A 27,721-nucleotide genomic window follows, 5' to 3' on the forward strand; every position below is an offset into this window, starting at 1 on the left:
GCCAGCACCACTGTGGGAGCCAGGAACGTGAGAGTGAACAAAACAGAGATGCCCCTGTCCCTGCGGAGACTGCTGTCTACTGGGAAGTAGCCCTAGTCAAGGAAAGGAAAACTCCAACGATCCCTATTGTGGAAGGGGCTGGAAGGAGACACAGCTGTGATGGTGGTGAGGGTGTGGGTAGGGGATAGACCCCAGGAGGGAAAGCAGCACCTGATTCATAGCAAGATCCCAGTGAACATTTGGTACAGGAACACACGTTGGCAGGACTTGCTGGTGGATAGGATGTGGGGGTGCAGGAATGTGTGGAATTCAAGATGCTCCCCAGGGTTTTGGCCTGAGCAGCTGGGTGCCAGTGGAGCCATTTACTCAGCTGGGGCAGGCTGCCCGAGCCAACCAGTTGCGGGTCATTCCTGTTGACCACCTGGGCCATGGGACTGGCTTCCTTGGGTCAGGTGACAAGAGTTCTTTCATCTTCCGGTGACACTTCCAGGGGAGGCAGGCTGCTTAACTTTTCAGAACTCCCATGTCCTCCCCCAGGGCTTAGCTCAATTTCTGGCAGGAACCCAGCCTCCAGGGCAGCAGGAAGGCTGGGTTTGGAAATGGCTAGCCCAGGTGGCCTTGGCAAGAGGCAGTATGGTACAGTGGCAAGGGGCTGGGTTCTGGCATCAGAAAGACATGGATGCATGAGTTGCTTTCTAGCTGTGTGAGCTTTAAAATGTCACTTTCCTTCTCTAAGGCTCTCCTTCCCCTCACCTACAAAATGGAAGGCATGGAGAGGATGAAATGAGATGGCAGGAACTTGGTAGAAGCCAGCTGCTTGCTTTAGATCCTGGCACTGGATTAGCGGCTTCATAAAAGCAGAGGTACTCCAGTCTGGGTGAAAGACTGAGACTCCCTCTAAAATAAATAAATAAATAAATAAATAAATAAATAAATAAATAAAAGCAGAGGGCTTGGGGACTGCATGGGGGACTGCCTTGCAAGGGTGCCCCCTTCATTCTTTTTATTGCTAAGGCTGCCTGGCCTTAAAGGGGCTCTATTCCCTGAGCCAGCTGGGAAGGAGCCGCACCTGCAGCTCGTCCCTTCTCCTTAATGAGGGAGGAGGCCAGAGGAAGCTTCCTTCCAAACCACAGAGCATGTGGGAGGCCTTGCCATCTGCTTGGGGTTACCTTTGGGGAAGTGGCTCTCGGTGTGTGGTCATCGAGGAGGTCTGTGGCCCAGGCTGTCTTCCCGGATAACCGTGTCTGAAATTTCCAGTCCCACGTGGGTGAGAACCGACTGAACAGCTTCCCTTCTAGGCTGTGGCTCTCTTGGGAACCCACGGAGAGGGCGTAATAGGCCTGGTCCCAGTGGCAAAAAGCTTGAGAAATCACTAATTTGGGCGAGTTTATTCCAGAGCATTGCTTTACTTTTCGACTTCTCTAGTTTCACTAGATTTTTGCAACAAAAGAGGATTTTTTTCACCTAGTAACAAACCCTGTTGGTAGGATTATGGCTGTCTAGACACACAGTAAAGTGGGGTTTCAGTTTTTGTTTTTGTTTTTTTTGTTTGTTTGTTTTGAGACAGGGTCTCTCTCTGCTGCCCAGGTTGGAGCACAGTGGCATGATCTCAGCTCACTGCAGCCTCGACCTCCTGGGCTCAAGTGATCCTCCCACCTCGGCTCAAGTGATCCTCCCACCTCAGCCTTCTGTGTACCTGGGACTACAGGTGAGCACTACCACACCCAGCTAATTTTTCTGTTTTTTTTTTTTGTAGAGATGGGGTTTGCCATGTTACCCAGGCTGGTCTCGAACTCCTGTGCTTCAGAGATCCACCTTGGTCTCCCAAAGTGGGATTACAGGAGTGAGCCACTGTGCCTGGCCGAGTTTCAGCACTTTGTATGGTAGTTATCCTGGTGCCAGGAAGGGAAGGGGCCTGAAGAGAATTTGACCAATGGGAGTCCCTCCCTGACCTGAGCAGTGTGACGGGAGAGATGAGAAATAAGCAATATTAGCCTTGCACGGAAAAACCATCCTCCCAACAGGGAGGCCTCTAGCTCTGGCCAGTCATGTCAGAAACATGCCAGCTGTCAACTCAGGGTTGGGAAGGAATTACTCTTGCAGCCTCCCAGCATTCACTCGAGGGCCTTTCACATAGTAGGTACTCAAGACAAATCCGTTCACTTGAGTTTATGGAGCATTTACTCTACTGCAGGCAAGATGCTTTCACATTTACTTTTAGACTTCAACCATAATTCTGAGAGGGGAATGCTGTTAATTCCCATTTTACAGATAGGAAAATAGAGTCACAGATGTTCAACATGTCCAGAGCTAGGTAAGAAGGGATGGCTGGCTTCAGTCCTACGAAATTCTATTTTTATTTTTAATTTCTTTAGAGACAGGTTCTGGCTCTGTGATCCAGGCTGGAGTGCAGAGGCACGATCCTAGTTCACGGCAGCCTCTAACTCCTGGGCTCAAGCAATCCTCCCACCTCCCAAAGCGCTAGGATTATAGGCGTGAGCCACAGGGCCAGGCTGGAAGTATTATCTTGTAAATGAAGGCACACTGGGCACAGAAGTAGCATACAGGACAAAATACTGTTCCCCACACAGGTCTGCAGTTTTACTGGAAAAGCCTTTGTGACTGTTGCAATAGAACATTTGTCTCCAATTCAATGAAAGATTAAGCAGTAAATTAAACTATCAGTTGATAACATATACCAATTTAACTTGGAGTTCAACTGCGGAGAGTGACCATCAGAGTCAACCCAGCCTCTGATGACGCTGATCTGAAGTGGCGACTCCTAAGCTACACCCTGCCTCTTATCAGTTGTTGCGGACCCATCTTTACAAAGCATTAAGTTGTTCATGAGAAGCAGGGTGTGCTTGCCCACACCTGTAATCCCAGCACTTTGGGAGGTCGAGGCAGGTGGATCGCTTGAGTTAGAGATCAGTATGCTCAACAAACATGGTGAAACCCTGTCTCTACTAAAAATACAAAAATTAGCTGCGTAACGCCTGTAACCCCAGCTAGTTGGGAGGCTGAGGCAGGAGAATCGCTTGAACTTGGGAGGCGGAAGTTGCAGTGAGCCAAGATTGCACCACTGCACTCCAGCCTGGTGACAGAGCGAGACTCCAAAAAAAAAAAAAAAAAAAAAAAGTCATTCATGAGAAAAACCCATCTTTCCCTACAGATCTGGAGATTAGAAGCCAAGTCAAATTATCCATGAATCCAAGGAATGTGACCTTTCCCCAGGCTGATAGAAAGCCATTAGGTCTGAGCTGGGGAACAGAAGCTATCCACAGACATGGCCCGCAGTTCAAGTTCCACTGTCTTTCAAGAAGCCAGTGCACTCCACAATCTTAGGCTTCAGCGCCGCAGGGCCATGTACTGTGTGTCTCACTGAGATAGTCAAGAATTCCAAGATGCTGTAGGGAGGGGCACACGGCCCTGTTCTTGAAATTTCTGATGTTTGTTCCTTTTTCCTTTGTGACCTTGGCTCCTAGGTGGCAGGCAGGCAACAAATCTTGTTCATCCTTGTCCCCAGCACCTCACCTTCCATAATGCCTGAGACAGATGCTTGTTGAATCAGCCCTTTAAGCCAGAAAATGCTCATTAAGGCTCATTCTCGGTGAGTCACACGTTTTCTCAGCTGCTTGCCTCAGGATGCATGAAACCTTTGTTTTCCGGATGATCCAGAGGTTTCCAGCTACGACTTAAAAAAGCAGCCTTGGATGAAAAGGTGAATAGGGACCACCCGAATGTGCCTTAGTAGGGGAATGGTTAAATAAGGGTACACCCATGCCACAGTGCTCTTAAGCAGGAGTTCCAAAAATTTTTACATACACACACACACAGATAAGGGAGGTCTTGGCTGGGCACGGTGGCTCATGCCTGTAATCCCAGCACTTTGGGAGGCCGAGGCGGGCGGATCACGAGGTCAGGAGATCGAGACCATCCTGGCTAACACGGTGAAACCCTATCTCTACTAAAAATACAAAAAATTAGCCGGGCGTGGTGGCGGGCCCCTGTAGTCCCAGCTGCTCTGGAGGCTGAGGCAGGAGAATGACGTGAACCCAGGAGGCGGAGCCTGCAGTGAGCCGAGATCGCGCCACCACACTCCAGCCTGGACGACAGAGCGAGACTCTGTCTCAAAAAAAAAAAAAAAAAAAAAACACACAACAAAACAACAACAACAAAAAGGTAGGTCTTTATTAGCACTGAAATCCCTTCTACATTGTGAGGTAAAAATAGAGGCCGGGCGCAGTGGCTCACACCTGTAATCCCAGCACTTTGGGAGGCTGAGACGGGCGGATGACGAGTTCAGGAGATCAAGACCATCCTGGCTAACACGGTGAAACCCCGTCTCTACTAAAAATACAAAAAAATTAGCCAGGCATAGTGGCGGGCGCCTGTAGGCCCAGCTACTTGGGAGGCTGAGGCAGGAGAATGGCGTGAACCCGGGAGGCGGAGTGCAGTTTTTTTTTTGGGACTCCGTCTCAAAAAAAAAAAAAAAATAGCTGCTGGCAGACTATAGGATACCCCTTTATTTTTAAAATCTTTTTTGGTATGTTAAGAAAAAAAAGAGACAGGGTCTCACTATGTTGGCCAGGTTGATCTTGAAGTCCTGGCCTCAAGCAATCCTCCCACCTTGGCTTCCCAAAAGTGCTAGAAGCCACTGTTCCAGGCTTTTTTTTTTTTTTTTTTTAAAGGAATGGGGTCTCACTATGTTGCCCAGGCTGGAGCGCAGTAACTATTCACAGGCGCAATCATGGCAAACCATAGCCCCGACCTCTTGGGCTCACGTGATGCTCCCACCCCAGCCTCCTGAGTAGCTGGATTAGGGGCACACGCCACAGCTCCTGGCTCTATGGTACCTTACTTTTGAAGGGAGAAAGTTTTATATATGCTGCATAACTGTAATAACGTAGAGTGTGGAAGGAAATGTCTAAGCTATCAACGGGATGAGTTTGGAGGAGCTTCCACTTTTACTTTCCCCCTTTCTCCTTTTTTGCATTGCTTTTTTGTTTTGTGGAGACAGGGTCTCACTCTGTTGCTCACACTGGAGTGCAGCGGTGTGATCTCGGTCACCGCAACCTCCACCTCCCAGGCTCAAGTGATTCTCCTGCCTCAGCCTCCCAAGTAGCTGGGATTACAGGCACGCACACCCACTGCCCAGCTAATTTTTGTATTTTTAGTAGAGACGGGGTTTCACCACGTTGGCCAGGCTGGTCTTGAACTCCTCACCTCAAATGATCCTCCCGCCTCAGCCTCCCAAAGTGCTGGGATTACAGGCGTGAGCCACCACGCCCGGCTGTGCAGTGAGCATGCCAGCCAAGGCAGCAGTGCTGTGGAGTTGATGTTTGCAGTGAGAGGCCCCACGAGGTCATTTGTGGAACTAACTGGATTCACAACTGACCAGGGTCATTGCTCTGTGCTGGAGGAATCTCAAACCTGGCCTCACCGACGTATCCAAAGACTTACCAAGATTTGGTTTTCAGTAATTCTGGTACTGAAAACTATAGAAACTGGGAAGATACAGAACACTAACACTAACTGAGTGTTCAGAATAAGTGCCAGGCATTCTCATACCAGATGAATGAAGTAGGCACAATTATGGATCCCATCTTACAGATGGGCGAATGGAGCAGCAAAGAGGTGAAGGAACTTGTCCAAGGTTGTCTAGCTGGTGAGTGGCAAAGCTGGGAACAAGCTGCAGGCCCTGCTGATGTCAGTTCCACGGCTCATCACCTCCTTCCAGCTAGGGTACCCCCACCCCCGCTCAGCTCTGAAGCCCTGTCCATCTCTCCAAGGACAAGGACTCCTGGCACCTTCACATTCCCCTGCGGCAAGTAAAGGAACAGGTTCTTTTTTTTTTGTTAATAAAGTAGAATAACATTTATTTCTTAAAATTTTTATTATACATGCTGTATTCATGGAAAACCAAGATCTTTAAAGGAACTCAAATTAGATATAAATTATGTTCAGCTCTGAGCTGGTTATAAATCATGTTTAGCATGGAAACAGTTAAACTGAAGCTTTCTTCTCCTTATAGGTTGCCATCATTTTCTTGATCTCTGCAATAGCTTTCCCTGGATTCAGACCCTTGAAAAAAGAGAAAAGAATCAATAACAAATGATAACTGAAACTGAAAGGGAAAACCCACAATCTTGGGTGAAACTCCTTCCTCAGCTGGTTCAGTGTCCAAGCAAGGTGAATGCAAATCAAGTCCCTCAAAACCATAGGGGTTGGGCTAAGGGCTCTCTTCTGTCTACCTTTTTTAACATTTGAAGATGGTCAGCTCCCTCTGGCAAGAGCTCTGCCACGTTGAATTCCTTCTTGTGTGGCTCACTCTAACAGGTAAACAGGCCCAGGGCAGAGGTGCACTCTCTGACTGCTCAAAGACACTCAGGGTAGTGTCTCTTCTAGGACTACAGGCCAATGTCAAAATCAGCCAGACATCTCTAAATCTTTTACATCATCATTATTAAATAGGCAGCAGCAGAAATCAGCATATACCAGCTCTCAAAAGTATGTGGAAGAAACTACCCTCTCTATTAACCCTTTGTAAAACCATGATGATTTCAACTGGCCAATACCATTGGTATTAGCTGCAGTTTGCCCCTACAGCTGTTAACATCTGCTTTGCAGGAGGCACAATAATTAAACCCACTGAATGCCAGCTTCATTGAAGTAGAAAGTAGGAAGTACTTTACCAAGTACTTGCTTTTACCAAGCAAGTACTTGGTAAAATGAGACAAGTACTCATCTGACGTTAGTGAAGGTTCCCCTCATTTTAGAAGGATAAGTCTACCCCCCTAAAAAAGTGTTGTGGAAAGAAAGAAGAAAAGGAAAGAAAGAAAAGAGATCTTGAGAGAAGAAGAGAAAGAAAAAATATATATTTTTTTGACAGGGTCTTGCTCTGTCATCCAGGCTGAAGTGTGATCATAGTTCACTGTGGCCTGGAACACCTGGCTCAAGTGATCCTCCGGCCTCAGCCTCTCAAGTAACTGAAACTACAGGTGCGTGCCACCACACCTGGCTAATTAAAAAAAATTTTGTTTGTAGAGATGGGATCTCACTATGTTGTCCAGGCTGGTCAAAAAGACACTCTTCATATACCAACATGGGATAATCTCCAAAATATAGTGGGTGAAAAAATACAGATAAATGTGATATAAGAAAGACAGAAGAGGACACATATGCATTTGTGTGCAGCATAAAACACCTCTGAAGTTCACACAAGAATCTGACTTCTAGGGAGGTGGCTGGGTGGAGTGGGAGGGAGAATTTTCACTGTATATCCTTCTGAATCTGGATCTACCTGTGTATTTCCGGTCCCCACAGGGTCAGTAAGGGTGTTTAGACTTAGAAGGTTGGTACATACCCAATCCATGCAGGAAGAAAGAGCACTGGATGGGGAGGCAGACGGCCTAACTCTAGTCCTACCTTCCCACTGACCTGACAGTGATCTGGGGCGAGTCACTCCCCTCCCCACCTGGGGCTCAATTTCCCCATCTGTATAAGGGGATTAAACTTGATGGTTTTCAAGTCCCTTCCAGTTTCATGATCGGCCTATGTCTATGTCTCAGTCCCAACTTCCAGCCCTGTTTTACAGAAGGGAGGGCAAGGCACAGAGAACCTGTTCTTGGCTGTCTCAGTTGTCTGCTGCACCCATCCCCTCCATGCACAGGTTTGTGACCAGGAATGCACCTTAGAGTCACTCGCAGAGCTTCTGAAGAAACACACAGCCAGGCCCCACCACTGAAGATGCTATCTCTGTCTCAAACAAGCCCAGTACTCATGTTTTTTTAAAAAATAACATAAGGTGACATTTATTGGGTGCTTACTATGTGCCAGGCACTGTTCCAAGCACTTTTATAGCATAACTTGCCTCAGAGGTCAGTAGCTATTCACAGGCACAATCATGGTAAACCACAGTCCTGGGGACAGGACCCAGATGGAAGCCCAGGCAATAGGGAGCTGAAGCCTGTGGGCTCCCCCAGCGAGGCCACTGGAAACACAGAGGGTTTCCAGGCAAAAAATAAGTGAATTCTACAGCTTGGATTTCATGTTTTCAAACACACAGTGTGATCTTTTTTTACGGCTAACTGGCCACCCTACAGTTTTCCACCTTGCCGCCCACTGACTCACTGCAACTTTTGAGTGAAATCACCCACAGTCTTTGCTCGGAGGGCAGCCGTGTTCTGAACCACACAGCCCTAGCCCTTCCCTGCCCACTGGGCAAGGCTGACTGGACCAGGGCTGACACCTGCTATGGTTTGAATGTGTCCCCAAAAGCTCATGTGTTGAAAACCTAATCCCCAATGCAACAGTATTGAGAGGTGGGACCTTTAAGAAGTGATTAGATTATGAAGGCTCTGCCCTCACAAATGGATTGCCATTATCATAGGAGTAAGTTCCTGATAAAAGGATGAGTTTGGATTAGTCAGGTGTGGTGGTGTGTGCCTGTAGTCCCAGCTACTCAGGAGGTAGGAGGATCACTTAAGGCCAGCAGTTCCAGGCTGCAGTGAGCTATGATTGCGCCACTGCACCCCAGCCTGGGCAACACAGTGAGACCCTGTCTTTTAAAAAAAACAGATGAGAGGGGCCGGTCGCGGTGGCTCACGCCTGTAATCCCAGCACTTTGGGAGGCCAAGGTGGGTGGATCACCTGAGGTCGGGAGTTCGAGACCAGCCTGACCAACATAGAGAAACCCTATCTCTACTAAAAATACAAAATTAGCCAGGCATGAGTGGTGCCTGCCTGTAATCCCAGCTACTCGGGAGGCGAATGCAGGAGAATCACTTGAACCTGGGAGGCGGAGGTTGTGGTGAGCTGAGATCGATCGTGCCATTGCACTCCAGCCTGGGCAACAAGAGCGAAACTCTGTCTCCAAAAAAAAAAAAGGCTGAGCTTGGGCTCCCTTTCTCTTGCCCTTCTGCCTTTTGCCATGGGGTAATACAGCACGAAGGTTCTTGTTAGATGCTGGCGCCAGCCTCTAGAGCTGTGCGTCAAATAAACTTCTTTATAAAATTACCCAGTCTGAAATTCTGTGATAGTACCACAAAACAGACTGAGACAGAACCTGGCCAAAGGGCAGCCGGTCTGTAGCCAGCTGTGGCCTCTGATGTGCAGGCATGAGAAGGTGAGCTGGGCCAATGCGACACCCTCTCAGGAAACTGTGCTGAGAAGTGCTGGGAGGCAGGCGGGTGGCTGAAGCTGGAAGTGTGCTGGGAGGCAAAATCCAGGCCAGAGTGAGCCAAAAGCAGCAGCAAATGCGAGCAGGAAGAGGAACGAAAGCCAGAGCTTTGAGTCAGAGAAAACCTCCACAGAGCCGAAGGAAAGAACAGGCTGCTAGAGAGCAGAGCAGATTAGCAGCTGACATCGCGAGAAAGATGGAGAAGAAATGAAGTCCTCACAGCTGCCCACGTTCCAACGGCTTTCGCTTTCTGTTTCCTGGGAAGGTTGAACGCAGGTACCTGCTCATGGGTTCCTGTGCATCCTTAACTCCCACAATGTCCCTGTGTAGCCTACAAATAAAGCCTGCTCCTGAGGTGGCCCGAGTCAGTCTACTCCTTGCAACTAAGAGCCAAACTAGCCCCTAGGCTCACACTGAAAGGACAGGCATATGCTGGTCCCTTTCCTTCTCAAATGACTAGGGTTGCTCTCTGCCAATCACCTCTTTGTGAGCACATGCTACTTCTGGCGTGTCAGCTCTGAGGCAGAGCTGAGGGTCACCAGCCCCACGTACCTTAGGACAGGTCCTTGTGCAGTTCATGATGGTGTGGCAGCGGTATAGAGAGAATGGGTCCTGCAGCTTGGCCAGGCGCTCCTCTGTGAAGTCATCTCTGGAGTCAATCATCCAGCGATAGGCCTGGAAAACCAGGGATGATTAGCTGAGCTGCCAATCAACAGGCCAGAGCGGCACCCTGGCTCAACTCAAAGCTCTGGGAGTGCAGAGGAAAGGGAATTCACTCAGCTTAGATGCCTCATCTCCATACTCTTTAATTCTTGTCCATCTTTCAAGGAAAGGTTCCCAACACTTGTAGCTTCACTTGATTAATGGTCCCTGCAAACCTTTGATCCATACTGCACCTGGTACCCGGGTGCTTAATTATACACACTGGGTATCATCTCCTAATTATTTCACATTGCTCAATAGCTTCCTACCCAGCTTATAATTTGGTGAAGGCAGGGACTGTATCATATAACTCTTATCTGTCTTCATGGCACCTACCCATGCTGGACTTGCTGTCTCTGAGTAAAGGAATGATTTAACAGACCTGTCTACAGATAGTATTTGTCCCACTTAATGATTCTTTGAACTTACACAGCGCTCTCAGCAGCCTGAGATCAGCAGGCTGAAACGAGTTAATCACATGACCATAGGCCTGCTCTAGCAGTGTTACTTAGAGGACCTCTACATCCCCAACTCGGAGCAGCTGGCAAAAGTGACAAGTATGAGTGTACTTCATTATCCAATCTTCACATGGCTGGGAATCAATATTGCTCATGTGGTCACACAAACCTGTAACTTCTCTTTTTGTGGGAAAATGAGAAAGAGAAGTTGGTTTTTGAGTTGCCTAGAGTCTGTGAAAAGCACGTATCTAAAAAAGCACAAGCTTTCTGGGAACAAAGACAGTGACTTTCTTTGCAGTGAACATCAATACTATTTTCTTTCTAAGCAACCCCTAAATCCAGGCTTTCATTAGCTGGGAAACAGCTTCCAATCTCATAGCTGGGCAGCTGCCCTTCAAAGACACTGCTTTCTCCCCTGCTTGCTCGCTACAAGTCTTATGTTACAAATCCTATGAGAGGGAGAGGGGGAGCCTCTGACCACCAGGCAAACGGAAATACATTTTAAACATCTGCAAGGCATGGTTTGCACCCCTTTGGGGTGACCCTCACTGCACTGAAACAAAGGCAATTTGCAGACAAGGCCCCAGATTTACCGAAAGCAAGTGAATACAATGCAACCAATTACCCTGTTTGGACTGGATGGCAATGAAGGAAACCAGGCCCCTCAGAATGGCTGGCTTACAGCAATCTATTGTCCTCTTGGACTTCTGGATGCTTGAGTTTCAATTTCTCTTAAAGCAATTAAGGAGCACCTCACCTGCATAAGAACTGCAGGCCCCAGATATTTGTCTCCGTTCCACCAGTAGCTGGGGCAGCTGGTGCTACAGCAGGCACAGAGAATGCACTCGTAGAGCCCGTCCTGTATGGGGAGAAAAGAGAGGCAGGAGCTTGTGACGGGAGAGACTCTGCTATGTCTTCAGCTGATTAAATGTTACCTTTGGGGTCAGTGCATGAACAAAGTGCCTACTTGCATGTGAATTTTCTTAGCAAAATCCAAGGGGTGATTTGCAGATATTTAGCAGATTAATAAAGATCTTGCAAGTGAAATGTAAACATCTGCCCAGGGTTCTTAAATCCACGTATAGTGCACTTTCCCTTTAATAAACAAGAACCTCTCACTTGTCTAAAAAAGAAATAGAAAACAAGAACACAAAAACAACTCCCATAAATTCCAGCTTCCTGGAATGAGGTCAAGACGGGAGAGATTCAAAAGCCTAGGGGCTGAAGCAGCAAGAGTCTGTAGCTGCTTCTGCCCTGGGCTCAGCAGAAGGGCCCTCAGGTTTTCACTGGGAACATCAACATCATCCCCAGTGACTGCCACTGCCAATCCTGACGGAGGCCCTGCGCCTTACACGCTTTCCTTAACTGATCATCACAGTAATCCTGTGAGGTGACTCCAGCAAGTTCCACTTACAGGTAAGGAACCAAGGCGAGGAGAGTGAGTTAGGCCATGTGCCCAGGGACGTGCCACTATAGGCAGCAGAACCAGGATGTGGCCCCGGCAGCTGGCTCTGGCTTCCTGCACTTTCACACCTGCCACACTGGGTCAATCTGCCCAACAAGTCCCAAACACAAACCGGACTTTCTGAGTTTGGAAACAACAGAAATGGATTAAAAACAGCAAAATGAAAGGGGCCCACTGACACCTGAAGTGACAGTTGAGAACAGATGAGACAGAACTGATGGTTGTGATTGAACCATGAGTCTTCAACCAAATCTATGTTATGTCCAGACAGCTGGTGGGAGTGTCAACTGGCCCCACTGGTCTAGAAGGCATAAGGTCACAGGATTAAGAGCCTTAAGAATAGTCATATTCTTTAACCCACTCCTAGAAAAATCTGTAATAAGAAATTAGAATGTTTTGGGCAGAACTTGAAGGATAAAGATGTTCATCTAGCCTTATTTCTAACAGTAAAAAATTGGAAACAATTTCATTGTCCAGCAACAGTGAAATGGTTTTATGGCGCATGGTGCATACATCTGAAGCAGTAGAAAGCAAAGTGTAAGTTAATGCTTATGAACAATTTTAAGAATATGAAGAAAATGCTCACAATAACATAAGTGAAAAAAGCAGGATATAAAAGCATATTTACATTTTGATCCCAGCTACATAAAAATATAATGTAATAAACAAAAAACAAAGGAAACTATAAATATTAACAGAGATTATGTTTTGGTGGTGGAATTATAAATTCTTTTTTTTTTTTTTTTTGAGACAGGGTCTTGCTGTGTGCCCCTGGCTGGAGTGCAGTGGCACAATCACAGTTCACTGCAGCCTGGAACTCTTGTGCTCAAGCAATCCTCCCATCTCAGCCTCCTGAGTAGCTGGGACTATAGGTGCATACCACCATGCCTGGCTAAGTTTTAAAGTTTTTGTAGAGACAGGGTCGCCCTATGTTCCCCAGGCTGAAAATTATAGCTTATTTAAAAAATGATGGAGCCTCTCTGAACCTATTTTGGTTTGGGGGCTGCCCAATTAAAAATAAATACATACATAAATTTCTCCACATTTTCCAATTATTTATTAAGTTCAGCATACTAATTTAAGGAAGCCAAAAAATGTTAAATGTTTGGTATGTAAATGAGTAAATGAGTAAATTTCTATTACAGGTTGGGCATCCCAAATCTGAAAATCTGAAATCCAAAATGTTCCAAAATCTGAAACTTTTTGAGCACCAATATGCTGCTCAAAGGAAATGTTCACTGGAGCATGGATTTCAGATTTCGGATTTGGGGTGCTCAACTAGTAAGTGTAAGGCAAATATTCCAAAATCTGAAAACATATGAAACCCCAAACACTGAAACCCAAGCATTTAGGATAAGGAATACTCAACTTGTATCTAGAAAACCAAACATGCTCAGGGGAACTCTTCAATCCCTAATAATACCACATCAGGGAGATGTTCACTAGCTACGCACCAGCCTTGCCTAGGAATGCAAAGGACTCGCTGGGCCAGAGGGCCCGGTTCAGCCTGGACTCTGGGATGCACAAGACTCTGGGAGGTAGAAACTGAGGAGCAGAGCTGCAGTCTGAGAAGAGCAGCTCTGAAGTCTCATCCCAGGCTTACTCTGACTTGCAGGCCACTGTGCTGACCCTCACTATCTTGATGGTGACAGACTGGGCACACTTACTAGGACTCCCCTTTTTCTCTTTTCTTTTTTTCTTTGAGACGGAGTCTTGCTCTGTTGCCCAGGCTGAAGTACAGTGGCACAACCTTGGCTCACTGAAACCTCCACCTCCCGGGTTCAAGAGATTCTCCTGCCTTGGCCTCCTGAGTAGCTGGGATTATAGGTGTGAGCCACCACACTCAGCTAATTTTTGTATTTTCAGTAAAGATGGGGTTTTATCACGTTGGCCAGGCTGGTCTCGAACAACTGACCTCAAGTGATCCGCCCACCTCGGCCTCCCTAAGTGCTGGGATTACAGATGAGCCACTGCACCTGGCCGGACTCCCCTTTCTTAACGTTTTATGGGCAACAGGAGAGGATGCTAAATATTTACCAAGTCTCAAAAGGTAGAATTAATTTATTCATTCATACAACTGATACTTTTCATATATTCACATATATGTATATGTTTTAGAGACAAAACCTGGGCTATGTTGCCCGGGCTGGCCTCAAACTCTCAGACTCTCAAACTCCTGGGCTCAGGTGATCCTCCTACCTCAGCCTCCTGAGTAGCTGGGACTATCAGAATGCACCACTGCATCTGGCCTTTTAAAAAATTTATATATATTTTTACAGTATTTACATAACTAATATTTATGGATAAAATAACATGCGCCAGGGCCTAGGGATCCAGAAAGGAAGAAGACACAGCCATTGCCCTTGGCCCTGTGCAGACCTGCAGGTGGGGCTCTGTCTCCATTTGGTCCCCTTCCTACCTCACGTCCACAAGTATGCAGGGAGTATGCAAATCAGAGAAGACTTCTTCGCAGAGGAGTAGAAGTAGTGTAGAAGAAGAAAGACTGAAAACTTGATAATGATGCCTCCGCTTTAAGATTTTACAGCTTGTACACAGGAATGGCAACTCCCAGAGAGTGAGCAGGCCAGGAATAATCCCACCCCACAGATCACCAGAAGTATGGTGTCAGGAAAGAATATCGATGACTCTGTTTTGCCATTAACATTTCACTCCCATTTGTAAAGCAGGACGGTGGTAGTTACAACTGGCCAGCATATGTGTTTCATTTTGCCCCCAGTGAGGGAACAGTTCTGACTTAGTGGTCACTTTTTAAAGCCCAGGCAATTTACATACTGGTTTCTTTTGAAAAAGATGGAGTAGCCACACAGCAACCACCCGCCCCTGCAGGCGGGGCACAGGGCTCTAGCTCCTTGGTCCACTCTGGGCCATTCACGGGTTCACACTACTCACCCGGCCCTAAGAGGATGAGTGCCCCACCCTTGTGCCAGTTCCTCTCCAGAATACACTAAATGGCTTGCATCAGCTTATGTTCCCTGCCAAGCCACACTCCTGGCAATCATCTTTGCAATAAATTCTTCAGATTGAAACAATAAATAGGGACTAATGACCAGTTTCTCACGCTCTTCTATGGACTGCAGATACTGCTGCTTGCCTTCCTGAGATTCATCCTTCTTCTTCAAATAAGGCTCAATGGATTTGTACTGTGCATAGAAGTTGCTCAAATCCTGTGGTTAAGAGGAAGAAGAAGAAGAAGAAGAAGAAAAGGATCAGATTCCATCATCACCTCAGCTTTATTTACCCCATTTCTTGGACACTGACTACTCGTCCACTCTATGCCAGGCAGAAGCCAGACTCTTTTCCTTTGTCATGAATATATGCAAAGATTACAAAAGGAAAAATGGTCACAATGTTAAGCATGGTTAGGAAACCTCTCCCTCACCTACTTGGGAAACCTGCCAATCCCACAGTCCTTTCTGCCCTTGAAAACACCACGTCAGCAAAGGTGTTCAAATATAGGGAGGTAGAAATTAAAGTGGGACTCATAAACAGCTGTTGCTTTCCCAACTGGCATTTTCCACATGATTTCTTTGTAGTTATGGCCAAATTATTCATTTCTGGGAATGTTCCAATTCTAAAATTCTGTGCCCCATTATTCTCAAACAAACCTCACCAAATGAGCTGCTGGAGGATTTTCTAGGCGTTTATCTTCTGCCATTCAAATTCTTTAATTAAACTCTGGCCACACTGTCTCAGATCTGGAGATTTTCCTAATCTCTCAGTGACACTGTGGTCCTCCTCCTGCCATAATATAGGAAACAGTCCCATCTATTTACTATCTGACTAGAAGAGGAGCCTTAAATACTCAAACAAATCCTGCCCTGAAAAACTAATAGCGTAACACACATAGCACTGCCCCCCATGCAAATAAAAACAAAACCAGAGAGATGCAGAAACTCACGGGAACAAGATCCTTTATCACATACATGTGTGGAAGAGGGTAGATTTTTGAGACCTTATTGAGGTTGGTGTCAATCCTTCGGGTGCAAGCTAGAGTGTTGCCTCCATTGATGTTCATTGCACAAGAGCCACAGATGCCTGAAAGAGACACACATTTAACACATCCTCACCCATATCCGGAATCAGTCCTGCCCCAAATACTTTCTTCTGGATCCTCCTTGCTGTGCCATCAGGGGCAGCACTGACATGCAACATTCCTCTGACAGAGGTGCCTGTTGGCTTTTCTCCCTTCCTTCCTTCTTCCTGCCTCGAATGTGGTTCTAATGGCTTGAGTTCCAAAAACTACTCTATGACCATGTGGCAACCTTGAGGTTAGAAGCCACATGCCAAGTATGGCACTGGAGGAGGCCAGAGGCCTGGGCGCTGCTGGCACCATGGAGTTTCCACAGCAGTTCTAGCTCCATGTGTCACGTGTTTTGAAGAAAAATCAGCCTGTTTTTTTTTTTTTTTTTTTTTTTTTTTTTAAAGAAAGGGTCTCACTCTGTCACCCAGGCTGGAGTGCAGTGGTGCAATCACAGCTCACTGCAGTCCTCAATGCCTGAGCTCAAGTGATCCTCCCACCTCAGCCTCCTAAGTAGCTGGGACTACAGAAGTAGCCCACCACACCCAGCTAATTTTCTGGTATTTTTTGTAGAGACGAGACTTGCAGAGACAGGGTTTTGTTATGTTGCCCAGGCTGGGCTTGAACTGCTGGGCTCAAGTAATCTGCCTGCCTTGGCCTCCCGAAGCACTGGGATTACAGGTCTGGGCCACCACACACCCGTCAAGCCTATTTTTTTTTTTTTTCTTTGAGAAGGAGTTTTGCTCTTGTTGCCCAGGCTGGAGTGCAATGCCGCGATCTTGGCTCACTGCAACCTCCGCCTCCCCAGTTCAAGTGATTCTCCTGCCTCAGCCTCCTGAGTAGGGGTGGGTGTGGTGGCTCACGCCTGGAAACCTAGATTTTTTAAAGCCACTGTTATTTGAACACAAATCTAACAGACACAATACCCAAAAGTAAAGTAAATCAACATTGTCTTGGTCATCTTAAGGTTGAAGTGACCTGGATACAGATTATTAAGAGATAGCTCTTCTTCTTTTTTTTTCTTGGCTGAGTCTTGCTGTGTCACCCAGGCTGAAGTACAGTGGTGGAGTCATAGCTCACTGTAGCTCACTTTAGCCTCAAACTTCTGGGCTCAAGCGATCCTCCCACCACAGCCTCCTGAGTAGTTGGGACTACAGGCACATGCCGCCATGTGCGGCGAATTCAAAAAAATTCTTTGTAGGTTGGGTGAAGTGGCTCACACCTGGAATCCCAGCACTTTGGGAGGCTGAGGTGGGCAGATCACTTGAGGTCAGGAGTTCGAGACCAGTTTGGCCAACATGGTAACCCCCTGTCTCTACTAAAAATATAAGTCGTGGTGGGTGCCTGTAATCCCAGCTACTCAGGAGGGTGAGGCGGGAGAATCATTTGAACTGAGGAGGAGAAGGTTGCAGTGAGCAGAGATCGCGCCACTGCACTCCAGCCTGGGTGACAGAGCAAGATTCCATCTCAAAAAAAAGAAAAAAATAATTGTTTTTTGTAGAGCAGGTGTCTCACTATATTGCCCAGGCTGGTCTCTAACTCACGGCCTCAAGTAATCCTTCTGCCTTTGCCTCCCACTGTGTTGGGATTACAGGCCTGAGCCACTACACTTGACAGAGGTAAGGCTTCTTCTATTGTCTTCATAAAATACGCAGCATAGTACCCTGGGGCTATGAAATCCACAAAAGCTGACTCAGCATGGACTTTCCAAAGAGGAGAAGAATGAACTAATATGAAACTGAGGCAAAGCAAAGCAAACTAAACAAAAAACGTGCTGACCCAGGACCCCGACATGAGAATTTTCTTAGCCTGGACCTACTTCCTGTATATGGAAATTTCCTGGGTGTTTTGGAATTTAAAAATGATTATGTACTCTAAACCTCTAGTGCCAGTCCTCTGAAGCTGTTTTTTGAAGATCATTAGGTCAGAGAAACCTGATTGCTTGAGAAAGTTGCACTGGTTATCATCTTTTTTTTTTTTTAGATGGAGTCTTGCTCTGTCGCCCAGGCTGGAGTGCAGTGGCACGATCTCGGCTTACTGCAACCTCTGCCTCCCGGGTTCAAGTGATTCTCCTGCCTCAGCCTCCTGAGTAGCTGGGATTATAGACGCCCGCCACCACACCTGGCTAATTTTTGTATTTTTAGTAGAGACGGGGTTTTACCACGTTGGTCAGGCTGGTCTCGAACTCTGACCTTGTGATCTGCCCGCCTCGGCCTCTGAATGCCTGGCCTCACCTTTTTTTTTTTTTTTTTTAATGGAAAGGGAGTCTATGTTTCCCAGGCTGGTCTTAAACTCCTAGCCTCAAGCTAGCCTACCACCTAGACCTCCCAAAGTACTGGGATCACAGGCGTGAGCCACTGCGCCCAGTCGGTTATCACTTTCATAAGACTAGAAAAGACAGTAAGACTCTCCTTCTCCTGTAAATCTTAGAAAGAGTGTAAGGGAACCCAAAGATGTGTCTTAAGCAAATACTCCTAGAGTTCCCCAAGAGACTGGATATTATCAATACATTTATGTATACCTGGCATCCAACTAGAGCAGTTTGCTTTTACAAGAAATGGCATAAAAATTAAAAAAATAAATCCAATGAACTTTCTCTCAAAAAGGCTCCCTGGGAATTCTCTTACAAGATGGGAATTAAAAAAAAAATAAGAAAAACAAGATGGGAATAAAAAGGAGTAGCAATTGATACAATTCTGCTTTATTTTTTTTAGTCCAGATGGGTCACACCTTATGTTCTTGGTTCTGAAAGAGTCCTACAGGGAAAGGTTACTGAAAAGCATCTACCTTTCCTGTGTTGCCAGGACTTAATGGGGAAGGCTGCTGTTTAACTGCCGCAGAATGTTCCCTGAACAGCAGGACTCAGCCGAACTATCATAATATCCATCAGCATTTGCAACGCTAAATAAGATTAGCTGAATCAAAACAGATGTCTTAAAAGACTTGAAATGCTTGAAATGTACAGCTGAACAGATAAAAAGCCATGGGCCGGTATCAATACTGGCTTTTCCTTTTTTTTTAAGGTTTTCTTAGAAAAAAGCTCAGTGTCCTCACAGAATCAAGCTACTCTCTGCTTTTGTTTTATCCCAGGTGTTCCAAGCCAAGTCAGTGCCTGAGAGAGCAGATCTGGAGTCTGGAGTCTGACAGCTTTGGCTGACTCCCGGCTCTCAAGTCACTCTCTATGTGTCCTTGTGGAAGTCCATTACCCTCTCTGGGCCTCACCTTTAAATTGAAGGTAGATAATAAGCACAGTCATCTACCTCATGTCCAGTGCACAGAACAGAGCCGGGCACACAGTCTGGCTCCACGGACATCAGGCCAGTCGGTCTTCACTGCACCCTGTGCAATTTTTGCTATACCTGAGAACCACCTGAATCAACTTTCTTTAAAGTATCTCTTGGGTTTTCTTTAACTTGTTTTGCTTAAATTCACATTAAAAAACCACTTATATCCCTATTATACCATCATTAGTAATTATATTTTTCTTTTTTTTTTTTTTGAGACTGTCTCGCTCTATTGCCCAGGCTGGAGTGCAGTGGCGTGATCTTGGCTCACTGCAAACTCCACCTCCCGGGTTCCTGCCTCAGCCTCCCGAGTAGCCAGGATTACAGGCGTCCGCTATCACGCCCGGCTAATTTTTGTATTTTTAGTAGAGACAAGGTTTCACCATGTTGGCCAGGTTGATCTCGAACTCCTGACGCCAGCTGATCCACCCGCCTCGGCCTCCCAAAGTGCTGGGATTACAGGTGTGAGCCACCGCACCCGGCAGTAATTATATTTTTCTAATACAGAAAATGAATACATTGCTATTCATGTAGAAAATGTTAGTCTGCACACTGCCTCAAATGGGCTCATGTGGCACCAGCAGCACAAGTAACCACATGCTGAGGGAGACACTGTACCAGCCAATCCAGAACACAGCTACCAAGGACATGTCATGCTGGGAGCTGAGGGAGACTCACACATCTCCCCTGCTGGACAAGCATAAGTGCCAGACAGAAACTCTCCACTGCTCCCTTAATAAAAGAGCTCAGCAGCATGGAAGGTGCCAGCCAGCAGGTCCTAGCTAGGCCTTGAAGCGTGGAGCAGCTCACAGGGACCGCCAGATGCAGTAACCACAGGATAGAATGCTCCTGAAGGAAAGTAAACTCAGAAACCAGAACTTGCACCATGGTTAGAATTTTGGATGCATTTACCCAAGAAAAGGAATTAGGTTGCACAGCAAGTTCACCCAGCAGAGAGCTGCAGCTGTTTTCCAGATGTCTCTATCAGCTTTGGCCAGCCCAAGCCTCTTTGGAAGACCACAAGTATCTGGAGCCCAACAGGAATGAAATGCTCACCTTCTCTGCATGATCTTCGGAAGGTCAAAGTAGAGTCAACTTCATTCTTAATCTTGATTAAAGCATCCAATACCATGGGGCCACATCTAACAAAGAAAAATATCCAGTGGTATTTATGTAACGTTCAACCTCCCTACACTTTATCATAATATAATCGGAGACACCTGGATGTATTAGCTTATCCATTTGGTCTTCTCAGGTCACCTTCGGAATTTGTTCTGTAGTTTTGTTTTTGCAGATTCTTACATTTTAAGTACTGCACAGTTCTATTTTGATGATCACAGTGCAAACACATTTCTAGGAAATGGAAAGCTAAAGTAGTAGTAGACAAGTATGACACAACTTCCATACAGTGGCCGAGTTTTTGTTTTTTACTTCTGAAGCTCCCTGCAAAGTTTTTCCAAATAATTTATTTCAAATTTTAGTTTGATTTTTAGGATGTAGACAATAGTTTTAAATAGTAATTAATAATACATAACCATAAGAGAAGACATAGTACAGAGAATAAAAGACACCCAATCACTCACAGTCCCCCAGTCAAATCACTGTGAGCCTCCTAGAACATACAAGGGCAGTGACATGGTACTAAGCGGAGCATCCCTGGGCGTGGGACCTGGAGTGCCGGCCTGGCAGCCAAGAGACTGGTCTGCACCATGGCTGAGCCACTTACCAGCTTGCAGGCAAATGATTTAATTTCTGCCTAGGCATTTAATCCACTGAGTGCAGAGAGCAGCACCTGCATCCCACAGGATTGCTGGAGGTGAGTTAATACACACGAGATCTTTACAGCAGCATCTGACATATAAATCATAGTTTAACTATAATAATCATCATGCAGAAACTGTGATTCTACGGAAATTACTCTCTGAACCTCAGTTTATCTGTAGAGTTAATATTTACACCACAGGGTTACTGTGAAAATTACATAAAAATATGTAATTTTTCATAGTACCTGGCATACAGTAAGTGCTCCACAAATCTATTTTCTGGTTGCCACCCTGCCCCCATTCCACTCACTAATTTTCTATGCATGAGATTAAAAATATACTTAAAAATACGTCATTTCCTTTAGTACTATCTGTATTTCATTTTTTTTCTTTTTTTTCTTGAGACGGGGTCTTGCTCTGTTACCCAGGCTGGAGTGCAGTGGCACGATCTCAGATCTGTAACCTCCGCATCCCAGCCTCAAGAGATCCTCCTGCCTCAGCCCCCCAGTAGCTGGGACTACAGGTATGTGCCACCACATCCAGCTTAATTTTTGTATTTTTTTGTAGAGGTGGGATTTCGCCATGTTGCCCAGGCTGGTCTCTAACTCCTGGACTCAAGTGATCCTCCTGCCTTGGATTCTCAAAGTGTTGGGATTATGGGTGTGAGGCAATGGTGCGATCTCGGCTCACTGCAACCTCTACCTTCCGGGTTCAAGCGATTCTCCTGCCTCAGCCTCCCGAGTAGCTGGGATTACAGGTGCATGCCACCACACCCGGCAAATTTTTGTATTTTTAGTAGAGATAGGTTTTCCCATGTTGGCCAGGCTGGTCTCAAACTCCTGACCTCAAGTGATCCACCTGCCTCAGCCTTCCCAAATGCTGGGATTACAGGTGTGAGCGACTGCGTCTGGCCCATTATCTGTATTTGTATCAGCACTATGTAGACGTCCTTTCTGCTGGACCTCTGCTAACACTGGGAATTGGAAGCTTTAAAAACCTTTGCTATTCTGATACTGGAGAAGTGTTATTGTTTTCAGTGTTTTAAATCGAGACTTTTGAATACTACATAGGTTGAATGTTTGTCATAAATTTACTAATTTTTCTTTATTTCCCAATTATTTATTGAACATTTACTCTGCCAGGTTCTGTTCTAGATGCTGGGGATGTAGCAGAGAATAAAAGAGACGAATACCACCTGCCCGCACAAAGCTCTGTTCCAGAGGACTCATTCTAGAGACTCAGTCTGTCCACATTCTTTGCCTCTGTTTACCAGGGTCTTGGAAATTCTTTTTCATGATCTGAGGCTCTTATATATTATATCTGTTGCCATTTCTGCTTCCTCCCTCACTGCCAATAGTAATGTGCTATTTGACTTCTAATTTTGGTAACAGAATTTTAAACATACATGAGTTAAATGTTTACATTAATAAAGGTGGCTATTCTTTCTTTTATAACATTATCTATCACTTTTAAGCCTAAACAGACCACTGCCCTTCCTGAGGTCTGATAAATACTTTACATTTTTTTCTACTTAAAAAAAATTTTAAGTTACTCCCCTAAAACTGCAAAAACTGTATCAGTTGTCCCAAATCACTGACTAAATCCTCTTTTGCTTCTTATTTGTAATACCTTTCTCCCATATTTAATACTGGGAACTTAGATAAAATTGAGTCTGTTTTGTTGCTACATTTTTATTCTAATGATCTGCCTGTTCTTGTCCTAGCATATTTTAAATGACAACAACATCTTTGTTTTTTTTACATTACAAAGGCTAATATTTGCAGCCTATAAAAATTTCAAATTGGCCAGGTGGGTGGCTCACGCCTGTAATCCCAGCACTTTGGGAGGCACTTTGGGAGGCCTTGGCGGGTGGATCATGAGGTCAGGAGATTGAGACCATCCTGGCTAACGTGGTGAAACCGTCTCTACTAAAAATACAAAAAATTAGCTGGGTGTGGTTGCACGTGCCTGTAGTCCCAATTACTTGGGAGGCTGAGGCAGGAAAATTGCTTGAACCCCAGAGGCGGAGGTTGCAGTGAGCCGAGACCGCACCACTGCACTCCAGCCTGGGAGACAGAGCGAGACTGTCTCAAAAAAATAAATAAATAAATAGATAAATAAATAAATAAATTCAAATCAAAGGTAAAAAGTAATCCTGCAGATCATACTGGGACAGAGAAAAATATTAAAAAGTCAAAGTCCTCTCTTTAAGCTGTTTCATGCTAAATTTCCTAATAGGTAGGGCTCATTAAAGAGTACAACATAAATTTTCTCAGATTTTACATAGATACCAAAATTGTTTGATATTCTGGGTCCCTTGCATTTCTATAAGATTTTTAGAATCAACTTGTCAACTTCTGCAGAAAAGGCAGGTGGGATTTTGATGGGGATTGCAATGAATCTGGAAATCAATTTGGAGACCACTGCCTCCTTAACAACATTAAGTCTTCCAACCCACAAACAGGGCATGTCTTTCCATTTATTTATGTCTTCTTAAATTTCTTTCAACAATGTTTTACAGTTTTTCAGCATATAAGTCTTTTACTTATTTGATTTTTGAGACAGGATCTCACTCTGTCGCCCAGGCTGGATGGAGTGCAGTGTTGTGATCACAGCTCACTGCAGGTTTGACCTCCCAGGCTCAAGTGATTCTCCCACCTCAGCCTCCAAGTAGCTGGGACTATAGGCACAGGAAGGTCATCAAGCCCAGCTAACTTTTTTTGTAGAGATGGGGTTTTGTCTTATTGCCCATATAATTTGTTCCTAAGAATTTCTTTTTTGATGCTGTTATATGGAAAATAGTTTTTAAATTTCATTTTAGGATTGTTCATTGCTAGTGTATAGAAATCCAATTTTTGTTTTTTTAACAGTACTTACAGGCTTTTTTCTAGGTAAGCAGGGTTTTACATATATAAATATAAATATTTATATAAATATGAATATATAAATATAAATATTTATATAAATATGAATATATAAATATAAATATTTATATAAATATGAATATATAAATATAAATACATATATAAATATATATGTATACACACACACACACACATTTTTTCTGTAGAGACTAAGTCTTGCTATTGTTGCCCAGGCTGGTCTCAAAACTCCTGGCCTCAAGCAATCCTCCTGCCTTGGCCTCACAAAGAAAGTGCTAGTATTACAAGTGTGAGCCACCATGCCTAGCCTAGAAAAATACATTTATCTGCTAATATCTGCTACACGCCAGTATTTTCAGAAAAAGAATTATGCTGTTGTGAAAATGAAAGAATATAGCTATTTTTTGTGTGTGTATACATAGCTACAAAGTAGGGTTTCAGAGTCGGATTAGAAGGAAATAGAACTATAATTAAAACATGGTACAATATAAAATGAAGACTGACAGACATAGGTTGAAATAAACATGGACAAATTATGCATAATAAAAAACTAAACTACATTTGATTTCTGTATACCAGTTTTGTGTCCTCCAACCTTGCTGAATTTGTTCATTAGTTCTAATAGTTCCTAGGGGGCAATGTCTTATATTTTCTTTTCTTTTTTTTTTTTGAGACAGCGTCTCCCTCTGTTGCCCAGGCTGGAGTGTAGGGCATGGAATCATGGCTCACTGCAGCCTCGACCTCCTGGGTTCAAGTGATCCTCCCACCCCACCCTCCCAAGTAGCTCGGACTACAGGAGTGTGCCACCACACCTGGCAAATTTTTTGAGACACAGTCTTGCTCTGTTGCCCAGGCTGGAGTGCAGTGGCGTGATCTTGGCTCACTGCAACCTCTGCCACCTAGGTTCAAGCAATTCTTGTGCCTTAGCCTTCCAAGAAGCTGGGATTACAGGTGTGTGCTACCATGCCTGGCTAATTTTTGTATTTTTAGTAGAGACAGGGTTTTGCCATGTTGTCCAGGGTGGTCTTGAACTCCTGGACTCAAGTCATCTGCCTGCTTTGGCCTCTCAGAATGTTGGGATTACAGGCGTGAGCCATCGCACCCAGCCTGGCTAATTTTTTGTTTGCTTTTTTGTAGAGATGGGGGTCTCATTTTGTTGCCCAGGCTGGTCTCCAACTCCCAGGCTCAAGCAATTCTCCTGCTTCAGGCCAGGCACAGTGGCTCACACCTGCAATCCCAGCACTTTGGGAGGCCGAGGTGGGCAGATCACCTGAGGTCAGGAGTTCGAGACCAGCCTGACCAACACGCAGAAACCCCATCTCCACCAAAAATACAAAAGAATTAGCTGGGCGTAGTGGCAGGCGCCTGTAATCCCAGCTACTTGGGAAGCTGAGACAGGAGAATTGCTTGAATCCGGGAGGCGGAGGTTGCGGTGAGCCAAGATTGTGCCATTGCACTCCAGCCTGGGCAACAAGAGCGAAAACTCTGTCTCAAAAAAAAAAAATTCTCCTGCTTCAGCCTTCCAAAATGCTGGGATTATAAGCACAAGCCACTGAGCCTGCCCAAGGTTTTGTGTAAAAGATTATGTTATCTATGAGAGACAGTTTTACTTCTTCTTTTCCAATTTCCTTTTCTTTCTTTTTCTCACCCAATTTCCCTGGCTAAGCCTCCAGTAAAATTTTGAATGGCTGATGTTAGCATAAATAGAATTATCTGTAGCCATTGAAATACACACACACACAAATAGTATTTTGCATATTGACCTTACATCCTGCAGCCTTGCTAAATTTACTTATTCTTTTAGTTTTGTAGACTCCCTGAAATTTTCTATGTAAACAATCATGTTACCTGTGACTACAGTTAGTTTAATTTCTTCCTTTCCAAGCTTACATATGCCTTCTACTTCTTTTACTTGCCTTTCATGGACTGGCTAGAACCTTCAGTACAATGTTGAACTCAAATACAGAGTGGACAACCTTCCTTATTCCTGATCTTATGGGGAAAGTGTTCAATATCTCACAATAAAGTATGCTATTAGCTGTGATTTTCACAGTCTTCATCTGGCTGATGAAGTTCCCTTCTTTTCCTATTAGCAGTTATTATTTAAGTAAAATTAGGACTATTCCTTTTAATTCAAATTCCTTATAGTTTTATTTATTTATTCTGTTAAAATATACACACTGTGAAAATTATTTAACCCATTATCATTTTTAAAAATCATGAATGAGTGTTGAATCTTGCCAAATGCTTTTCTGCATATATTAAAGCAATCAAATGGGTTTTCCCCCTTTATTCTGTTAATATGGTGAATCACATTGATTTTCAAATGTATTTCTTTATTTTTTCTTGCGCTTTTTCTTGCACTTAAAACAGCATATGGTTGGGTTTTGCTTTTTTTAAAAAAATCTATTCTGACACTGTTGGCTTTTTAACTGGGAGTATTTAATAGTTTTTACATTCAATACAGTTATTGACGTGGCCGGATTTAGGTCTATCATTTTACTATTTGTTCCATCATTTTGCTGCTGTTCTCTTCTTCTTTTCTTATTCTAAGTAATATTTTTAGACTAAGTAAATATTTTTAGAAATCAATTTTAATTTATATATTGGCTTTTTAGCTATATCTCTTTGCATTTAAAAAAATAATTACTCTTGGCTGGGCATGGTGGCTCACACCTGTAATCCTAGCACTTTGGAAGGCTGATGCAGGAGGACTGCTTGAGCCCAGGAGACCAGTGTGGGCAACATAGTGAGACCCTGTCTCTACAAAAAAAAAAAAAAAAAAAAAATTGGCCAGGCATAGTGGTACATGCCTGTAGTCCCAGGGACATGGGAGGCTGAGGTGGGAGGATTGCTTGAGCCTAGGAGGTCTCAGGGAGGGAGGATTGCTTGGTTGAGCCTGGGAGGGTTTAGTGAGCCATGATTGTGCTACTGCCTTCCAGCCTGGATGACAGAGTGAGGCCCTGTCTCAGAAGAAGAAAAAAAGTTACTCTAGAATTATACTTTACATAATTTACATCTTTAACTCTTTATACCTGTTTAGAGTTACTATTGTGCAACTTTATGTAATGCAAGAATCCTGCTACATTATTATAGGTCTATTTACCTGCTGTTCCCAGCCCCTACGCTATAGTTATCATATGCCTTACATCTATGTGAGTTATATATTACAGAATATAATATAATAACTTTGCTTTAAACAGTCATATTAATTTTAACAAAATTAAGAGGAAAAATCCTTTTATATCTACTATGTCCAGCGCTCTTCATTCCTTTTCTAAGAGCCAAGTTTCCACCTGGTATTATTTTTCCTCAGCCTGACTAACTTCCTATAGCATTTCATGTAGTACTGGTCTTCTGGCCATGAATTCTTTTCTTTTCTGTTTACCTGAAAATGTTTTTATTTCATAATCATCTTGAAGAATCTTTTTTTCTGAACGTGGAATTCCAGGCTGACAATTTTTCTTTTAGTACTTTAAAGATGGTATTTCACTGTCTCTTGGCCTCTAGTTTCTGATGAGAAGTCAGCAATTTTTCACCTGGTTTCCTTGTATGTAACATGTTGTTTTTCTCCAGCTGCTTTCAAGATTTTCTCCTATTTTTGGTCGTCAGCAACTTGACTTCATGGAACAGGGCATAGTTTTATTTTTATTTACCTAGTTGGGGTTCACTAAGCTTCTTGGATATGTGAATTATGTCTTTCATGGGCTCAGGAAATTCTTGGCCATGAGTTCTTCAAATAGATATTTATTTTGCCTTTTCTTTCTCTCCATTTTTTCTGGAAGTCCAATTACATGTGTGTTACATCCATCCATCCACTCACCCATGCATGGTCTTACTCTGCTGCCCAGGTTGGAGTACAGTGGCACAATTATAGCTCATAGCAGCCTCAAGTTCCTAAGCTCAAGCTGTCTTCCTGCTTCAGCATCCCAAGTAGCTAGGACTAC

General features: G+C 44.6%; 1 protein-coding gene across 2 annotated transcripts in view, besides 4 other annotated features; it reads right to left on the bottom strand.

The window, feature by feature from the left end:
• Positions 2,925–3,459: an enhancer, noted in NCBI's record as "H3K27ac hESC enhancer chr1:17342294-17342828 (GRCh37/hg19 assembly coordinates)". NCBI's record gives its function as "activates a minimal SCP1, AML or CMV promoter by ChIP-STARR-seq in primed H9 embryonic stem cells {active_cell/tissue: H9 hESC(primed)}" and the evidence as "EXISTENCE:reporter gene assay evidence [ECO:0000049][PMID:30033119]".
• Positions 3,460–3,995: an enhancer, noted in NCBI's record as "H3K27ac-H3K4me1 hESC enhancer chr1:17342829-17343364 (GRCh37/hg19 assembly coordinates)". NCBI's record gives its function as "activates a minimal SCP1, AML or CMV promoter by ChIP-STARR-seq in primed H9 embryonic stem cells {active_cell/tissue: H9 hESC(primed)}" and the evidence as "EXISTENCE:reporter gene assay evidence [ECO:0000049][PMID:30033119]".
• The window catches only part of SDHB (succinate dehydrogenase complex iron sulfur subunit B), a 35,311-nt gene continuing 13,437 nt past the window's right edge, over positions 5,848–27,721 (bottom strand). Inside the window, exons 3-8 of one of the 2 annotated variants that reach the window (NM_003000.3) lie at positions 20,186–20,271; positions 15,726–15,862; positions 14,875–14,991; positions 11,099–11,200; positions 9,734–9,856; positions 5,848–6,084 (exon numbers count right to left, since the gene is read on the bottom strand). In NM_003000.3, the coding sequence (NP_002991.2) occupies positions 6,007–6,084; positions 9,734–9,856; positions 11,099–11,200; positions 14,875–14,991; positions 15,726–15,862; positions 20,186–20,271 (643 nt within the window). In that variant the 3' untranslated portion in view covers positions 5,848–6,006. The remainder of the gene's footprint in view (positions 6,085–9,733; positions 9,857–11,098; positions 11,201–14,874; positions 14,992–15,725; positions 15,863–20,185; positions 20,272–27,721) is intronic. The other variant, NM_001407361.1, reaches the window with a different exon arrangement.
• Positions 6,090–6,139: an enhancer, noted in NCBI's record as "active region_276". NCBI's record gives its function as "activates an Ori minimal core promoter by ATAC-STARR-seq in GM12878 lymphoblastoid cells {active_cell/tissue: GM12878}" and the evidence as "EXISTENCE:reporter gene assay evidence [ECO:0000049][PMID:35858748]".
• Positions 17,108–17,607: an enhancer, noted in NCBI's record as "H3K4me1 hESC enhancer chr1:17356477-17356976 (GRCh37/hg19 assembly coordinates)". NCBI's record gives its function as "activates a minimal SCP1, AML or CMV promoter by ChIP-STARR-seq in naive H9 embryonic stem cells {active_cell/tissue: H9 hESC(naive)}" and the evidence as "EXISTENCE:reporter gene assay evidence [ECO:0000049][PMID:30033119]".

The sequence above is a fragment of the Homo sapiens genome, chromosome 1 (genome assembly GCF_000001405.40).
Source record: "Homo sapiens chromosome 1, GRCh38.p14 Primary Assembly".
Lineage (NCBI taxonomy): Eukaryota > Metazoa > Chordata > Mammalia > Primates > Hominidae > Homo > Homo sapiens.